At 40.7% G+C, this 18,190-nt stretch overlaps 1 protein-coding gene across 5 annotated transcripts in view; it reads right to left on the bottom strand.

The window, feature by feature from the left end:
* B3GLCT (beta 3-glucosyltransferase) overlaps positions 10,933-18,190 on the bottom strand; it is a 132,302-nt gene continuing 125,044 nt past the window's right edge. For all 5 annotated transcript variants that reach the window (NM_194318.4, XM_011534936.2, XM_006719768.4 and 2 more), the window contains one exon: positions 10,933-13,708. In NM_194318.4, coding sequence (NP_919299.3) covers positions 13,541-13,708 — 168 coding nt within the window. In that variant the 3' untranslated portion in view covers positions 10,933-13,540. The remainder of the gene's footprint in view (positions 13,709-18,190) is intronic.

Below are 18,190 nucleotides of genomic sequence, written 5' to 3'. Positions count from 1 at the left end.
GTTATAATTTCTATTCTTTTACATTTGCTGAGGAATGCTTTACTTCCAACTATGTGGTCAATTTTGGAATAGCTATGGTGTGATGCTGAGAAGAATGTATATTCTGTTGATTTGGGGTGGAGAGTTCTGTAGATGTCTATTAGGTCCACTTGGTGCAGAGCTGAGTTCAATTCCTGAGTATCCTTGTTAACTTTCTGTCTCGTTGATCTGTCTAATGTTGACAGTGGGGTGTTAAATTCTCCCATTATTATTGTGTGGGAGTCTAAGTCTCTTTGTAGGTCACTAAGGACTTGCTTTATGAATCTGGGTGCTCCTGTATTGGGTGCATATATATTTAGGATAGTTAGCTCTTCTTGTTGAATTGATCCCTTTACCATTATGTAATGGCCTTGTCTCTTTTGATCTTTGTTGGTTTAAAGTCTGTTTTATCAGAGACTAGGATTGCAACCCCTGCCTTTTTTTGTTTTCCATTTCCTTGGTAGATCTTCCTCTCTCCCTTTATTTTGAGCCTATGTGTGTCTCTGCACGAGATGGGTTTCCTGAATACAGCACACTGATGGGTCTTGACTGTTTATCCAATTTGCCAGTCTGTGTCTTTTAATTGGAGCATTTAGCCCATTTACATTTAAGGTTAATATTGTTATGTGTGAATGTGATCCTGCCGTTATAATGTTAGCTGGTTATTTTGCTCGTTAGTTGATGCAGTTTCTTCCTAGCCTCGATGGTCTTTAAAATTTGTCATGTTTTTGCAGTGGCTGGTACCAGTTGTTCCTTTCCATGTTTAGTGCTTCCTTCAGGAGCTCTTTTAGGGCAGGCCTGGTGGTGACAAAATCCCTCAGCATTTGCTTGTCTGTAAAGTATTTTATTTCTCCTTCACTTATGAAGCTTAGTTTGGCTGGATATGAAATTCTGGGTTGAAAATTCTTTTCTTTAAGAATGTTGAATATTGGCCCCCACTCTCTTCTAGCTTGAAGAGTTTCTTTGTGGCATTCTCTGTATTTCCTGAATTTGAATGTTGGCCTGCCTTGCTAGATTGGGGAAGTTCTCCTGGATAATATCCTGCAGAGTGTTTTCCAACTTGGTTCCATTCTCCCCATCACTTTCAGGTACACCAATCAGATGTAGATTTGGTCTTTTCACATAGTCCCATATTTCTTGGAGGCTTTGTTCTTTTCTTTTTATTCTTTTTTCTATAAACTTCTCTTCTCGCTTCATTTCATTCATTTGATCTTCCATCACTGATACCCTTTCTTCCAGTTGATCGAATTGACTACTGAGGCTTGTGCGTTTGTCACATAGTTCTCGTGCTGTGGTTTTCAGCTCCATCGGGTTCTTTAAGGACTTCTCTGCATTGGTTATTCTACTTAGCCATTCTTCTAATTCTTTTTCAAGGTTTTTAACTTCTTTGCCATGGGTTCGAACTTCCTCCTTCAGCTCAGAGTAGTTTGATCGTCTGAAGCCTTCTTCTCTCAACTCGTCAAAGTCATTCTCCGTCCAGTTTTGTTACGTTGCTGGTGAGGAGCTGCATTCCTTTGGAGGAGGAGAGGTGCTCTGATTTTTAGAGTTTCCAGTTTTTCTGCTCTGTTTTTTCCCCATCTTTGTGGTTTTATCTGCCTTTGGTCTTTGATGATGGTGACATACAGATGGGGTTTTGGTGTGGATGTCCTTTCTGTTTTCTGTTTTCCTTCTAAAGTCAGGGCCCTCAGCTGCAGGTCTGTTGGAGTTTGCTGGAGGTCCACTCCAGACCCTGTTTGCCTGGGTATCAGCAGTGGTGGCTGCAGAAAAGCGGATATTGGTGAACAGGAAATGTTGCTGCCTGAACGTTCCTCTGGAAGTTTTGTCTCAGAGGAGTACCTGGCCATATGAGGTGTCAGTCTGCCCCTATTGGGGGGTGCCTCCCAGTTAGGCTACTCAGGGGTCAGGGACCCACTTGAGGAGGCAGTCTGTCCGTTCACAGATCTCCAGCTGTGTGCTGGGAGAACCACTACTCTCTTCAAAGCTGTCAGACAGGGACATTTAAGTCTGCAGAGGTTTCTGCTGCATTTTGTTTGGCTATTCCCTGCCCCCAGAGGTGGAGTCCACAGAGGCAGGCACGCCTCCTTGAGCTGCGGTGGGCTCCACCCAGTTTGAGCTTCCCAGCTGCTTTGTTTATCTACTCAAGCCTCGGCAATGGCAGGCGCCCCTCCCCCAGCCTCGCTGCCGCCTTGCAGTTTAATCTCAGACTGCTGTGCTAGCAATGAACAAGGCTCCATGCGCGTAGGACCCTCCGAGCCAGGCACGGGATATAATCTCCTGGTGTGCCGTTTGCTAAGACCATTGGAAAAGTGCAGTATTATGGTGGGAGTGACTCGATTTTCCAGGTGCCGTCTGTCACCCCTTTCTTTGACTAGAAAAGGGAATTACCTGACCTGCTTCCTGGGTGAGGTAATGCCTCTCCCTGCTTCAGCTCACGCTTGGTGCACTGCACCCCCTGTCCTGTACCCACTGTCCGACACTCCCCAGTGAGATGAACCCAGTACCTCAGTTGGAAATGCAGAAATCACCCGTCTTCTGCATCGCTTACGCTGAGAGCTGTAGACTGGAGCTGCTCCTATTCAGCCATCTTGGCTCCACCCCCAAAATATCAATTTTAACACTTCTCGAGCCCCACGTTGTGTGCCACAAATGTTGCAGGACTTTCCCTTAGTTTAGATAAAGACAGGGTCCTTGTCTGTCCCATGGCTGTAAAAATTCAGGCTCACAGATGGTTTGAAGGGTGAGTAAAGCAGGGTTTTATTGGGTGAAAAGTAAGAAAAGGAGGAAACAGACTTTCACTAGGCCAGAGTCCCTCTAGCTTCCTTACTTGCCATTGTGAAGGCTATAATCTGACACTCCTTTAATAAGCTCCCTATACTCCTTTTCTTTTTGAGACAAGCAGCCTTGGCAAGAAGTATAATTCAAAAAATGGACTGCCCAGAATAAAATTCCCAGCCCAAATTGAGAGGTGACAGCGTGCTGGCAGTCCTCAGAGCCCTTGCTTGCTCTTGGCACCTCCCCTGCCTGGGCTCCCACTTTGGTGGCATTTGAGGAGCCCTTCAGCCCCCCACTGCACTGTGGGAGCCCCTTTTTGGGCTGGCCAAGGCCGGAGCCCACTCCCTCAGCTTGCAGGGAGGTGTGGAGGGAGAGGCACGAGCAGGAACTGGGGCTGCGTGCGGCACTTGTGGGCCAGCTGGAGTTCCGGGTGGGCGTGGGCTTGGCGGGCCCCGCACTCGGAGCAGCGAGCCAGCCCTCCTGGCCCTGGGCAATGGGGGACTTAGCACCCGGGCCAGTGGCTGCGGAGGGTGTACTGAGTCCCCCAGCAGTGCTGGCCCACCAGCGCTGCACTAGATTTCTCGCCGGGCCTTAGCTGCCTTCCCGCGGGGCAGGGCTCGGGACCTGCAGCCCGCCATGCCTGAGCCTCCCACCCACTCCATGGGCTCCTGTGCGGCCCGAGCCTCCCCGAGGAGCACCACCCCCTGCTCCACGGTGCCCAGTCCCATTGACCACCCCAAGGGCTGAGGAATGCGAGCGCACGGCACAGGACTGGCAGGCAGCTCCACCTGCAGCCCCAGTGTGGGATCCACTAGGTGAAGCCAGCTGGGCTCCTGAGTCTGGTGGGGACGTGGAGAGTCTTTATATCTAGCTCAGGGATTGTAAATACACCAATCAGCACCCTGTGTTTAGCTCAAGGTTTGTGAGTGCACCAATCGACACTCTGTATCTAGCTACTCTGGTGAGGATGTGGAGAGTCTTTATATCTAGCTCAGGGATTGTAAATACACCAGTCAGCACCCTGTGTTTAGCTCAAGGTTTGTGAGTGCATCAATCGACACTCTGTATCTAGCTGCTCTGGTGGGGCCTTGGAGAACCTTTATGTCTAGCTCAGGGATTGTAAATATACCAATCGGCACTCTGTATCTAGCTCAAGGTTTGTAAACACACCAATCAGCACCCTGTGTTTAGCTCAAGGTTTGTGAGTGCACCAATTGACACTCTGTATCTAGCTGCTCTGGTGGGGCCTTGGAGAACCTTTATGTCTAGCTTAAGGATTGTAAATACACCAATCAGCACCCTGTGTTTAGCTCAAGGTTTATGAGTGCACCAATCGACACTCTGTATCTAGCTGCTCTGGTGGGGCCTTGGAGAACCTGTGTGGAAACTCTGTATCTAACTAATCTGATGGGGACGTGGAGAACCTTTGTATCAAGCTCAGGGATTGTAAACGCACCAATCAGCACCCTGTTAAAACAGGCCACTTGGCTCTACCAATCAGCAGGATGTGGGTGGGGCCAGATAAGAGAATAAAAGCAGGCTGCCCGAGCCAGCATTGGCAACCCGCTCGGGTCCCCTTCCACACTGTGGAAGCTTTGTTCTTTCGCTCTTTGCAATAAATCTTGCTACTGCTCACTCTTTGGGTCCACGCTGCTTTTATGAGTTGTAACACTCACCACGAACATCTGCAGCTTCACTCCTGAGGCCAGCGAGACCATGAGCCCACCAGAAGGAAGAAACTCTGAACACATCTGAACATCAGAAGGGACAGACTCCAGACGCGCCACCTTAAGAGCTGTAACACTCACTGCGAGGGTCCGCGGCTTCATTCTTGAAGTCAGTGAGACCAAGAACCCACCAATTCCGGACACAAAATCACAGGCAGAGCTATTATCACACCCATTTTATAAAACTTTTCAGTCCATATTTCATGTTTATTGGCTCATGGCCTTCTAAAATCTGATGGTTTTAGTTTGGAAACTAGTTTCTGGAGTTCCATCTCTTATGTGCAGTCAATTCTCTCCAAACCATTGTGAAGGCATCCCTCTTTGCTGAGGTTGCAGCAGCAGATTCACTTGGCTGTCTCCATTGGGTGGTGGCTTTGGCTTCTCAAAAAGAAGGTCAGAGAAAGGTTCCTAGAACACAAACTCCATGGAAGCATGGATCACAGAGATTCAAATAATTTCCTTTGAAAAGACTTCAGTGAATTCCCTCTTCAAATCTTTTTTAGGATAAGACTGGGAGTGTGAACATTTCTGTCAGCTTCAACTTCTTCTTCCCCCAACACTGTTAAGTTCTACCAAATATTTTAAGTTCCAAGATACATGTGCAGGAGGTGCAGGTTTGTTACATAGGTAAAGATGTGCCATGGTGGTTTGCCACACCTATCAACCCATCACCTAGGTATTAAGCCCAACATACATTAGCTATTTTTTTCTGATGCTCTCCCTCCCTTAACCACCCACCTCTGACAGGCCTGTGTGTGTTGTTCCCTTCCCTGTTTGTTGGCCGCATGTATAGCTTCTTTTGAGAAGTGTCTGTTCATGTCCTCTGCTCGCTTTTTAATGTTTTTTTTTTTCTTGTAAATGTATTTAAGTTCCTTGTAGACTCTGGATATAAGACCTTTGTCAGATGGATAGATTGCAAAAATTTTCTCCCGTTTTGTAGGTTGTCTGTTCACTGTGGTGATAGTTACTTTTGCTGTTCAGAAGCTCTTTAGTTTAACTAGATTCAGCTGTCAATTTTTGCTTCTGTTGCAGTCACTTTTCACTTTTTCATCATGAAATCTTTGCCCATGCCTATGTCCTGAATGGTATTGCCTAGATTTTCTTCTAGGGTTTTTATAGTTTTGGGTTTTACATGTAAGTCTTTACTCCATTTTGAGTTAAGTTTTGTATGTGGTGTAAGGAAGGGGTCCAGTTTCACATAAAAAAGGAGTCCAGTTTCAATTTTCTGCATGCAGCTAGCCAGTTCTCCAGCACCATTTATTAAGTAGGGAATCCTTTCCCCATTGCTTGTTTTTGTCAGGTTTGTCAAAGATCAGATAGTTGTACATGTGCCATCTTATTTCTGAGTTCTCTATTCTGTTTCATTGGTCTGTGTCTGTTTTTGTACAGTACCATGCTGTTTTGGTTACTGTAGCCTTGTAATATAGTTTGAAGTCAGGTAACATGATGCCTCCAGCTTTGTTCTTTTTGCTTAGGATTGTTTTCGCCATATGGGCTCTTTGTTTTGGTTCCATGTGAATTTTAAAGTAGTTTTTTCTAATTCTGTGAAGAATGTCAATCGTAATGGGAATAGCACTGAATCTAAATAAATTACTTTTGGTAATATGGCCATTTTCATGATATTGATTCTTCCTATCCATGAGCATGGAATGTTTTTCCATTTGTTTGTGTCCTCTCTGATTTCCTTGAGCAGTGGTTTGTAGTTCTCCTTGAAGAGGTCCTTCACTTCCCTTGTTAGCTGTATTTCTAGGAATTTTATTCTCTTTGTAGCAATTATGAATGGGAGTTCATTTATGATTTGGCTCTCTGCTTGTCTATTGTTGGTGTATAGAAATGTTTGTGAATTTTGCACACTGATTTTGTATCCTGAGACTTTCCTGAAGTTGCTTATCAGCGTAAGAAGCTTTTGGGCTGAGATGATGTGGTTTTCTAGATATAGGATCACGTCATTTGCAAAAAAAGACAGTTTGATTTCCCCTCTTCCTATTTGAATACCTTTATTTCTTTCTCTTGCCTGATTGCCCTGGTTAGAACTTCCAATGCTATGTTGAATAGGAGTGAGCATCCATTTCTTTACCTTCATCAATTACTCTTTCTTTAATCTCTTGCAACCTCTTTGGGGTAACCTCCCATGGCCACTCCCCCATCACCTGATTCATTGCTTCAAGAAGAAGCTCTCCTGCCAAATGCAGAAAGGCTGCCAGGGCATGGATTCACCCCATAACCCCCGACATCCCAATATTAAGAATGATGCCACTGGGACCCAACCTGAAGTGCCACTTCCACCAGGCTTTGCTTTTTTATGGACAATTTCCATCTTCACATCATGTTTTCACCTGTGTTTTTTTCCTCAGAAAACTGAAACTCCTCAACCTCCACTGTCCTGCCAGGGCAGTTCAGAGCAACCTTGCCCACAGCCACAAGGGCACCTCACCCCATCTGACTTGGAGGGCACTCGGGCAAATGTGGGGGCCCAAGTCGACACTCAGCTCTGGCCCTCACATCCCCTAGTCTGTGAGGTGCTGCCACAGCAACTGCTCAGTCTGACCCCAAAACACCTACTGTTATTTGATTCTAATTGCCACCCCTCATGTTCTTCCACAGGTGGTGTTGTCTCCCAATTACATAAGAATACTGAATAAGATTTCTGAACTTTCACAATAGAATGGCAATCCTATCCCTGCCTCTTCTAGCATCCAGAACACATAAATGTATATTTAGCCATATGAAGTAGCCAACACACCAAATCCTTTTGGAGAATTGTAGTTTTTTGCTATCCACTGCCAGCAAAGGCTCCACTAAGAGTTGACAGTGAACGCCCCTTAGGCAGCTTTTTTTCTTTACCCCACCACCAGGAATTCCTATTTTTTCAACTTCTATCAACTATTTCTACCTATTCTTGAATTTCCTATAAAAAGAATCTATGCTTTCTTTCGTGTCTGCCTCCTTTTGTTCAATATACCTGTGAGAATCATTAACATTGTAATGTCTACCAATAGTTTTCTCCTTTTAATTGCTGTGAAGTAATTATCCATCACTGTACGGATATATAATAATTTATCCATCTCTTCTTGGTAGAAATTTTTTTTCAATTTGGGGCTGTTATAATAAAGCAAATATGAACTCTTTTGAACATTTCATTTTGTGGAACTGTGCACTCAGGAGAGGAATTACTGAGACATAGTGTAGACCCGAGGTCAGCAAACTTTTTCTGTAAAAGGCAGATAGGAAATATGTAGACTGTGCAAGCCATACGTTCTCCATTGTAATGAGTCAACTCTGCCATAGACAATATGCAAACAAATGGGCGTGCCTGTGTAATACAATTTTGTTGACCAAAGCAGGTGGTGGCCTGGATTTAGCCCATGGGCAGCAGTTGGCTGAACCCTGGCATAGATGTTTGGTTTGCTTTAGTAGAAAATGCTGAGAATAATTTTGCAGTGTGGCTATTTAGTACTCTTAAGCAATACTTTATAAGAATTCAATACATGCTTCACATTTTTGTCAACACTCAAAAGTATCAAGTCTCTTTAGTTTTGCCATTGTTGTAACCGCATAGCATGTCTCACAGTGGGTTTGTGATCTCATTAATGATGTTGAACACTCAAAATACATGTATTGGCCATTTGTATTTCCTCTCTTGTGAGGTGCCTGTTCAAGTGTTTTGGACATTTTTGACTGCGTTGTGTCCTCGGATTTGTAGGAGTTGTATTGGCTATGAACCTGTATTATCTACTGCTGCATAGCAATATTACTGCAAACTTAGGGGTATAAACAAACATACATTTGTTATTTGACAGTTTCTGTGGGTCAAGAGTCTCAGCATGGCTTAGCTTGGTCCTCTGCTTTAGGATCTCTCACACAGCTGCAATAGATATGTTGGCCAGGGCTGTGGTCTCATCTTTTGCTTAAATGAGGAAGGATCTTCTTCCAAACTCATGTGGTGGCAGTGTTCAGTCCCTTGTGGTATACCGCTTTCCAGTCTGCTTCTTGCTGCCTGTTGCCTACAGGTTACCCTTAGTTTCTCACCATGTAGGCTTTCCCAACATGACTGCTTGTTTCCTCAAAGCCAACAAGGAAGAGTATCTCCTCATGAGATGAATATTACAGGCTTATGGAACAGATTCACATACACATAATCACATACATCCCATATCCAATTAGTTAAAATCAAGTCACATAGGTCCCATGAAAACTCAAGGGGAGAGGATTACACAAGGGTATGAATACCAGGAGTCAGGGGTCATGGGGACTATTTTAGAGTTGTCTGCCACAGAGTCTTTGTCAGATATATCATACATATCTTCTCCAGTCTGTAACTTGCCTTTTCCTTTGATAGAAAAAAAATGTTTTATTTAAAATAAAATCAAATGTATCCACTTTTTAATTTTGTAGATAGCGTTTTGTTGTTGTTGTTTTGTAGAGTCAGGGTCTCATTACATTGCCTAAGCTGGTCTCGAACTCCTAGCCTCAAGAAATTCTCCTGCCTCAGCCTTCCAAAATGTTGAGACTGCAGACGTGAGCCACCACACTAGCCCTAGATAGTGGCTTTTTATTACCTGTTTAATAATTCATTGCTTACCTAAGATCATGAAGATATTTTAGTCTGGTTTTCCTCTAGACTAGTGTTTCTCAACCTTGACAATACTAAAATTTGAGGCTAGATAATTCCTTGTTAATTCTTCTCCTGTGCATTGTAGGGTGTTTAACAGCATCTCTGGCCTACCCATGAGATGCCAGTAGCACCCCCTTCCAGTTGTGACATTCAAAAATCTTGCCAAATGTCTCCCAGGGCTAAAAGGCCCCCAGTTGAAAAGTACTGTTCTTAGATGCTTTATAGCTTAATCTTTGAATATAATGTCTGTAATCCGAGTTAGTAGTTGCTTCATATTGTTCCATATATCTAATTTCTCTACATTTATTGAAAAGATCATTTCCCTCATGAACTGCATGTATCACCTTTGTCTTACATTAAGTAATCATATTATATATGGATTCTGCTCAATTTACCTAACTTCAATCGTCATGCCAGTAAAACACTTGAGTAGTTTTTTGGTAGGTCTTGAAATCTGTTCTTGTAAATCTTCGAATTTTGTCATCATAATTGGCTTGGCTATTCTCGGTCCTTTGCATTTCCTTCTATATTTTGAACCAATTTGTCAATTTTTACACACAAAGTCTCAGATTTTTACTGGAAATAAATCTGTAGATCAATTTGAGATAATTGTAGTCATAACAATATTGAACATTTCAGTACATAAAATGATAAACCTTAGTTCCTTTTTAATATCTCTCAAGATTTTCTGGTTTTCAGTGCAGAGATCTTGCAACTATTTATTTCTAGATATTTCTAGATGCTTGCTAATGCTTTCCGGCTTTACTGAGGTATACTTGACACATAAAAAGTGTATATACTTAGTGTACATGATTGTATATATGTATACATTGTAAAATGATTGCCACAATCAAGCCAATTAGCATATCCATCCATTCCTGCTTTTTTTTTTTTTTTTTTTTTTTTTTTGGCAGTGGTGGTAACATTTAAGATCGATTTCCTTAGTATTTAATATTTGTAAACCATTGTAAATAACATTGTTTCCCTAATTTTATTTTCAAATTGTTTGTTGCCAGTATGTAGAAATACAATTATTTTTTATATCAGTCCTGTATCTAGTGATCTTACTAAATTCATTATAAAATACTTTGGATTCTGTTTGTATGCAATCAAGTCATCTGTAAATATCTTTTTACTTCTATTTACTCTTTATATAATTTTCTTTTCTTTCCCCTGACTGGGATCTCCTAAACGATGTTGAATAGAAGTAGTGATGGTAAACATTCTAGTCTTTCCTCCAAATTTAGGGGGAGAAATAATTCAATATGAAAGCATTAGGTATTTATGATACTTTTTTCTGTAGATACTCTTTATTATATTGACGAATTTACCTAGTTTGAGAATTACAAGGTTGGCTGCTGAATTCTGTCAAATGCTTTTTTTCCTCCTTTTTTGCGCAGCTATTAAAATGGTTATACAATTTTTCTCCTTTATTCTATTAATGTGGTGAATTACTTGATTTTTGAATGTTACAGTAGCCTTGCATCCCTGGAATAAACCCATTTGGTCATGAGTTACTATCCTTTTTATGTATCCTCTTTTTACATATTGCTGATCATTTTGTTTAGGATCACTGTCTTTTATGCTCATGAAAGTTGTTAGTCTGTGATTTTCTTTTGTCAAGTTTTGGTGTCAGAGAAACTTGGGTCTCATAAATTCAGCTGGGAAATGTTTCCTTTTTCATTATGCTCTGAAAGAGTTTATGTCCCATAAACATAGTATTTCATCTTTGGATGCCTGGAGAATATCACCGATGAAACCATCTGGGCCTAGAGTTTTCTTTGTAAGAAAGTGTTCAACTTTTCATTACATAATAAAGTTTTTATTTAGTCCATACAAATTACATCTCTGATTATGAATGGAAGACAATAGAAACATTCTTGAAGATGTCAATTACATTAATTTTTGAGGATATATACAACAAGAGGTCTTCAATAAACCCAGAAATGCAGACAGCACTGATATTTACATACCCATACATAGCATCATTTGTGATTTAGCATGCTATTATTGTTTTCTGCTCCTAGGCATTCTAGAAAGGTTATTTTCATGTCTGGATTTCTGATTTAGTTTCAAGATGTAAAAATCCTACATAGTCAGACAACCTGCTTTGGCTATATCATCAGAAATGGCTTAAAAGCAAAAATGACATTCCAGTTATTCCACACACAAATCCCTGATGTTAACATCCCTAGCCTAAAAATAGCCATTTGGAAGGAAAGCCCTATTTCAAAGCAAAGGAAATGTGAGTAAGACAATATCTGGTCCTGGAAATGTCAGACTCAAAATTGAGTTCTTTAGATGGGAATCGATTCTAAAATAACATCTCTGATTTGTTATATAACAAAACACAATGGCTTTATAAACTTTATATAAACATTATCAATTTCTGATGGTTTTCTCTTAAAAGGGTAGCTCTGAAGTAATTATTCTCTCTTTAAACTGTATTTACTGAGCCGCTGACTTTTTTCTGATTTCATTCATTCATTTTCCCCATTTCCCCTCCCCATTCCCAGTCTAGACTAATGAACACAATATTTGAGAAATCAAAAACTTAGGCAAAGATCTTTTACTTGTGGTTAGGCTTACACCATTCCAAAAAGTAAATATAATTAACAAAACACTTAAAAGTACCAGAGGAGGTGCCCCGGTATCAGTAGAAGGCACTAATCAGACCACAGAAGAAAGCTTGACAAGGATCTTCATATACGGATGCCAGCTTCAATCATGTCAAATGAACATGTTGTTCTCTCAGTGGTAACAGTTAGTAGGCCAGAGCAGAACTGGAGACTCTTTTCCACTGGTGTAGGCAGCCAGGGCTCTCCAGGAGTACTATTATAGATGACATGAAGGTGACTACCACGGTAGCAATGACAACAATCCCAGTTACAATGACTGAACAAAGCTAAGGCCATCAGTATAGGCTTGAAGCGATCTAGAAATCCTTCTGGAGCCTCTCATCAGCTGATCATCCCTGATACATCCCTTGGATGGCCACAGAATCCATTTTCACAAAACTGAATCCAATGCATTGTGTTATCACTGCAACACGTGAGGTCTGGTAGTTGCTAATTTGGAAAAATGGTAAATACTAATACTATTGCAAATAGTCAATCTATGCTACAAGAAAAACATATTAACACACACAGGTACTTTTGGTGGTATGGCTTTAAATTCTGTGCTGGGCTATAAAAAGCATTATAAGCAAAGTTAATGAGTAACAGTTTTTATTAAAAAGAAAAAAAAGAAGTAATTTACCAAAATTAGTTTAAGACATATTAAATTTTATGCAAATACCTTTACAAAAACTGAATTATATAATTAGAGTGCTTTTTATACATTAATACTGAATATGTTACATTACTATATATTAAAGATATAATTTGAAAACTAGAGCTGTTTCAAAATACTGTGTTCAAATGTCATTCTTTGGGAACCCAGAGAAATTGCCTGATCACCATGCTGTCCTTCCACAAGGGGTTTCTCTCCTGAGTCAGGAGAGAGTCATTAAGTAACATTTAAAAAAAAAAAAAAAACAAGAGTAAAACATAAGGTCCAAATTTAATTCACTTCCTGAGACTCACATAGAGCTTGCTGACTTGAACAAAACATGTCAACATTGTTTTAAAATATTGAGGACACTATTTTCTGGCAGCATCTACTACTTTCATGTTACAAGTAAGCCATAAAGATAGGGCTTCAGGGAGAAATAAAACACAGATGAACTTCCAAAGCAATACGAAGCTCTAGCAGAAGACCTCATTCTCTTTTTATGAGGCACAAACAGCAAAAGAATAGACAAAACATAACCACCATGATTACAGACTTCAGGGGATTTCATATCTAGGGTTTCATGATGTTTTATGTACAGTATTATTCCTTAATACGGTATTATTCCTACTGAGTTCCCAGGAAATAATTTTCATCATCAATAATATGGTTTAAAAGTTCATACCATTCACAATATCCATGTCAAAAGACTTTCAGTCTTCTTTTTATATATACAAATAGAACTGTAGACAGTCACATCTCTCCAGGCTCATGCCCAACTGAAACTTCCATTACAATGAAGAGACAGAACAGGAAAGGGACTTCTGGTACCATTTATTTCCCTGTGACAATAAAAAAAAACTGCTGTATCACAGCTTGGAGAATACACAGTCATCACTAAGTGTTAAAACAACTGCATAAGTCAAAAGCAAGTGATTTTTCCCAGAAAAAAAAATGTTTCTCCTGTGACCCCTTTTCTTCCTCTGTCAAAAAATACCATACATAAAATCTCCCCCTAAAGTCAGGAAGCACCCAATGCCATGTGGCAGACACAAGTGTTGTGAGCACAGCACAGTGGGATGAGGCCACAGTCTCCAGTTCATTCCCTGCGCAGGCTAGGCGCACAGGTCACCCTGATTTATAACTCCTCTCGAAAACCTTTCTGTGTCTCCTGCCTGGCTTTGTCTTCGTCACTGGGTGCCAACCATGTGAAATACACCTTCACTGGATCGATGTTCCAGTGTTTGTGGAACGATATGGGAACTTGATGAGAAAGGTAGTCCTTAGGGTAATCCACCGGCCGAGCCTGCAGGAAAAATAGAGAGTTAGGCTTCCTTGTTGATTGAATATAATTTTGCTGCAGAAGAGCATTTGAATTTATAAAGTGGACTGCTTTACTTCACTACCTAACATTGGCTATAGGAATCTAAAAGCAAAAAGGAAACTATTTTCTGATATCTTTCTTCTAACTCCAGGTGCTTTGCTTTTGTGTCTCCAATTACCTTAATACCCCAAATGCACTGCTTTTTGCTTCTATGTTCCATAGTCTTGCCTCTGGGAGATTCCTAAACAATAGTAATAAATACAAAAAGCTTTCTTTGATAAGCCATTTAAGTTACTATTATCACTTCTGCACAAAGACAGAAAAACTGTTATGTTCCAGGTACTTCTAAGGAAACTGGCCGTAAGTTTGTTGTGGGGGGCTGGGACAAGGATTTCTCAGATTTCCCTTGGCCTCTCTACTGCTCTAATGTGTAATTAGGTGATGTCATTCGAAGAAAGAAAACAAGGAGCTCACTCGGGAGGAGGATAATGTAACTCATGCTCTCTTCCTGACCAAATATCTAGTCTAGTTCCAGAGGTGTAAATGAGAATTGCAAGTAACCCGAAATAGTTTGTGAAAGGACCTAAAAAGTTTTTATATTATCTACATTGCAAAATTTTTTAGAAGTTAGAAAATAAAACTTAAGCAGAACTAGATACAGGTTAGAATAAGATTGAAGAAGTAGCATATAGGGTTAGAAGGAAACTGAAATCAGATACTATTTTGTTTTCTCTAAGCAAAGTATCCAGTTTCTCTCGGTAAACCTTTTTTTTTTTTTTTTTTTTTTTTTGAGATGGAGTTTCACTCTGCTGCCCAGGCTGGAGTGCAGTGGGGCAATCTCAGCTTACTGCAACCTCTGCCTCCCGGGTTCAAGCGATTCTCCGGCCTCAGCCTCCCAAGTAGCTGGGATTACAGGCATGCACTACCATGCCTGGCTAATTTTTGTATTTAGTGGAGACGGGGGTTTCACCATGTTAGCCAGCCTGGTCTCGAACCCCTGACCTCAGGTGATCCACCTACCTTGGCCTCCCAAAGTGCTGAGGTTGCAGGCGTGAGCCACTTTGCCCAGCCAGTAATCATCTTAAATTTGTTTATTAATTTATATGGGCCACTGTTTTATAAAGTAACTCATTAGGTCATCAATACTAAAATTGTCTTGACTACTAAAACTAGATGTGATGCATTTTAAAAACAAGTCTTTTGTAGGCTACTTTTTTTATTACAGTCTGCCTAAATCTTTGATATGAATACTTAAACTCACTTAAATGGTTTACAGAATACCTTTGTTAAATTTTGCCTTATTGAATCCTAGAAACAGCCTTATAAAATGGACAGAATATTATGGTTCACTTCCAATTTACCGCTGAGAAAACCAGAGCTCCCAGAAGTAACATGACTAGCAAACACTGGAATAGAGACCAGAGAGAGGTGCTCAGCCCAGGGCCAGTGCTCTGCCAGGACACCGGCTGCCTCTGCTCAAGCCATCTTACCGCCGGTTGGGCACACTCAGCAGCACCTGGCCTAACCTAGCTTCACCAGTACAAATATACTGCTCAGATGAGTGTTCCAACAATAATATCTGCGAAGAAAAGTTCAAAATAATCTAAGGGGAGAACTTTCACAATTGCTATTTTTAAGAAATTATAACTGCTCAGGGAGTTAAAAATCTAAAAGGAATTTTAAAAGGAAAAAACAGTGAGACAGACAAAAAATACACACTGGAATACAGTCTAACAGAGTTGGGAAAGTTTTGAATATTAGTTGAAGGAATTCATTTATTATACGACGTTTCTTTGCAAGGCCCTCTGAGAGTTTACTGGCAAGGAAGAAAACCAAGGAGAAACATCCTCTCAATTCCGTTAGAAGATAATTCCACAATGATCCCAGAAGAAAGAAATACAGTAGTTCCCCCTTATCCATGGTTTCACTTTCTGAAGTGTCAGTGTCCCACAGTCAATTTTAGTCTGAAAATATTAAATGGAAAATTCCAGAAATACACAATTCCTAAGTTTTAAGTTGCGGGCCCTGCTGAGTATCAGGATGAAATCTGGGGTGTCCCACTCCATCCCGCACTGGGCATGAATCCTCCCTTTGTTCAGCATCTTCATGCTGTCTACACTCCCTGCCCCTGAGTCGCTAGAAGCCGCCTCATTATCCAGTCAACTGCAGCAGTATCACAGTGCTTGTGTTCAAGGAACCCTTATTTTACTTAAGAATAGCCTGAAGCAAGAGTAGTGATGCTGGCATATGGTTATAATTGCTCTATTTTATTATTAGTTATTGTTGTTAATCTCTTACTCTGCCTACTTTCTAAAGTAAACTTGATCATAGGTATGTAAAATATAAGAAAAAACATAGTATACGTAGGGTTCAGTATAGCCAAGGTTTCAAACATCCACTGGGGGGATTGTGGAATGTATCCCCTGTGGTTAAGGAAGGACTACTGTAAAAGCAATGGAAACAAATCCTTGCTGGTTTTTCACCTTTAAAAATGAACTGTTGAAGATAGAAATGCATCTAACAGGAAAAAAAATAAACCATAACATTTTCCACTCTATTAATGCAGATTCTAGAAGTGATTTGCTGCATCTCAGGGAGGCTATACATGCATTAAAAGAGCTGGCTTATTAAACATTACAATTTACTGGTCATTTTTGACAAATGAGGTAATGGAAAAGCATTAGACAAAACCAGAAAAGTGAAATACATCCAAAATGGTATCTTTAATACCAAGAACTCTATGCAGCCTCTAATAATCATATCTCTGTGCCCAAAATGTCAAGAGGAAATCCCAAACAGGCAGGATGAGGGGTGGTGAAGAACTTGAGGAACAGACACAGAGTGTGGTAGGCATCTGCATACAGGAAGAGAGAGGGGCTGAAACTGCCTAAGAAAGACCTACAGCCAGGTGTGGTGGCTCAGGCCTGTAATCCCAGCACTTTGGGAGGCCGAGGCAGGTGGATCACAAGGTCAGGAGATCGAGACCACCCTGGCTAACACATGAAATCCCGTCTCTACTAAAAATACAAAAAATTAGCCAGGCGGGTGGCACACACCTATAGTCCCAGCTACTTGGGAGGCTGAGGCAGGAGAATCGCTTGAACCCAGGAAGCAGAGGTTGCAGTGAGCCGAGATCATGCCACTGCATTCCAGCCTGGGTGACAGAGCAAGACTTCATCTCAAAAAAAAAAAAAAAAAAAAAAAAAAGGGAAAGACCTCCTACATTGGGCAAAATTAGAACCTTTCATCTGTAAATACTGGAGCACACTAAACAGGGCAGCAAATGGAGATTAAAATCACATTTCCTTAGACAAGTGCCTTTCTATAACTGTATTGAAAAATGATTTCCATCCCATACAGTTTACCCACCATAACGGTGGTCTAAAACTTTTCGGGAAATTTCCAGAGTTGAGCAACCACCAATCATTGCACACTGCCATGTCCATTAGTGGCACATAATTTTGGAAGAACAGAAAACCATATGCTCTAGGTGCTGTGCTTTCAACAAAGGGAAATACTAGATTTTCCCTGGAGTCCCCTTCTAAATCTGCGAATTCACAATAACTTTCTCTAAAAACAGAAGAAATGTGACGGCCCAGGCAATTTTGCATATGAGACTGCTTCCAAATGCCCACTCTGTCTCTAGCTCATCAGGATTCTTAAATTTTATCTCTTTGCCTCATATTTCTTTGTGAAGATGAACAAACACAGTTTGGATCAGTGTTTAAACACTATAAATGGAAAGCACTATCCAAATCGTTACCAAACTCTCTAAAAGAGGCTTAAGAATTGGAAGATACAGCATTATCTGTTGGGGAGGATAGGTTTTAAACATATTTTATGATTTTGGAAAAGTTTAAAATGTATGTGAATTAGAGAAATCAAGGGTTCTAAAGTGGGGGAAACAACAACCTTATTTTTAAAAAAATTATCTTCAAAGGACTTTTGCCTATAGATGATTTTCCTTCTTTTCTCCTTATCATTTTATTAGCTAATTTATTCTTCCCTAAATGAAAAGGGCTGCTACAAAAATCTAAGACCTGTCACACTAACCTTGATAAATTATTTCCCTTATACACTAACAGTTTTAATTACCCCTTTTATTGCGTGACTGAAACACCATGAGACAGAGCAAGAGAGGGAACCGCAGAGAATAACGCTTTCTTTCCTAAGTCATCCTAACACAATACACAGGCTTAAAGTGGGTAAGACCTCTCAAAGTCCTAAAGGACAAGTAAGTATCTTCTAACTGACACCAGGAAGGAGGTTTCTCATACATTTCCTTATATTAAAGGTCTCTTTTTATCCTCTCTTATTGTCTCAAGGATACAGAAATGGATTCTGCCTTTCCTGATGATGCAAACACTTTCTTAGTCTTATTCGAGTTGTTTTCTATAGTATACTATTTCTGTCATGCTAAGTTTTCTATATTGCTATGATAATGTTTGCTACTGGTTACCAAAT

The sequence above is a fragment of the Homo sapiens genome, chromosome 13, assembly GCF_000001405.40.
Source record: "Homo sapiens chromosome 13, GRCh38.p14 Primary Assembly".
Lineage (NCBI taxonomy): Eukaryota > Metazoa > Chordata > Mammalia > Primates > Hominidae > Homo > Homo sapiens.
The sequence above is the reverse complement of the archived record's forward strand: the minus strand, read 5'-3'. Positions and strand labels throughout refer to the sequence as shown.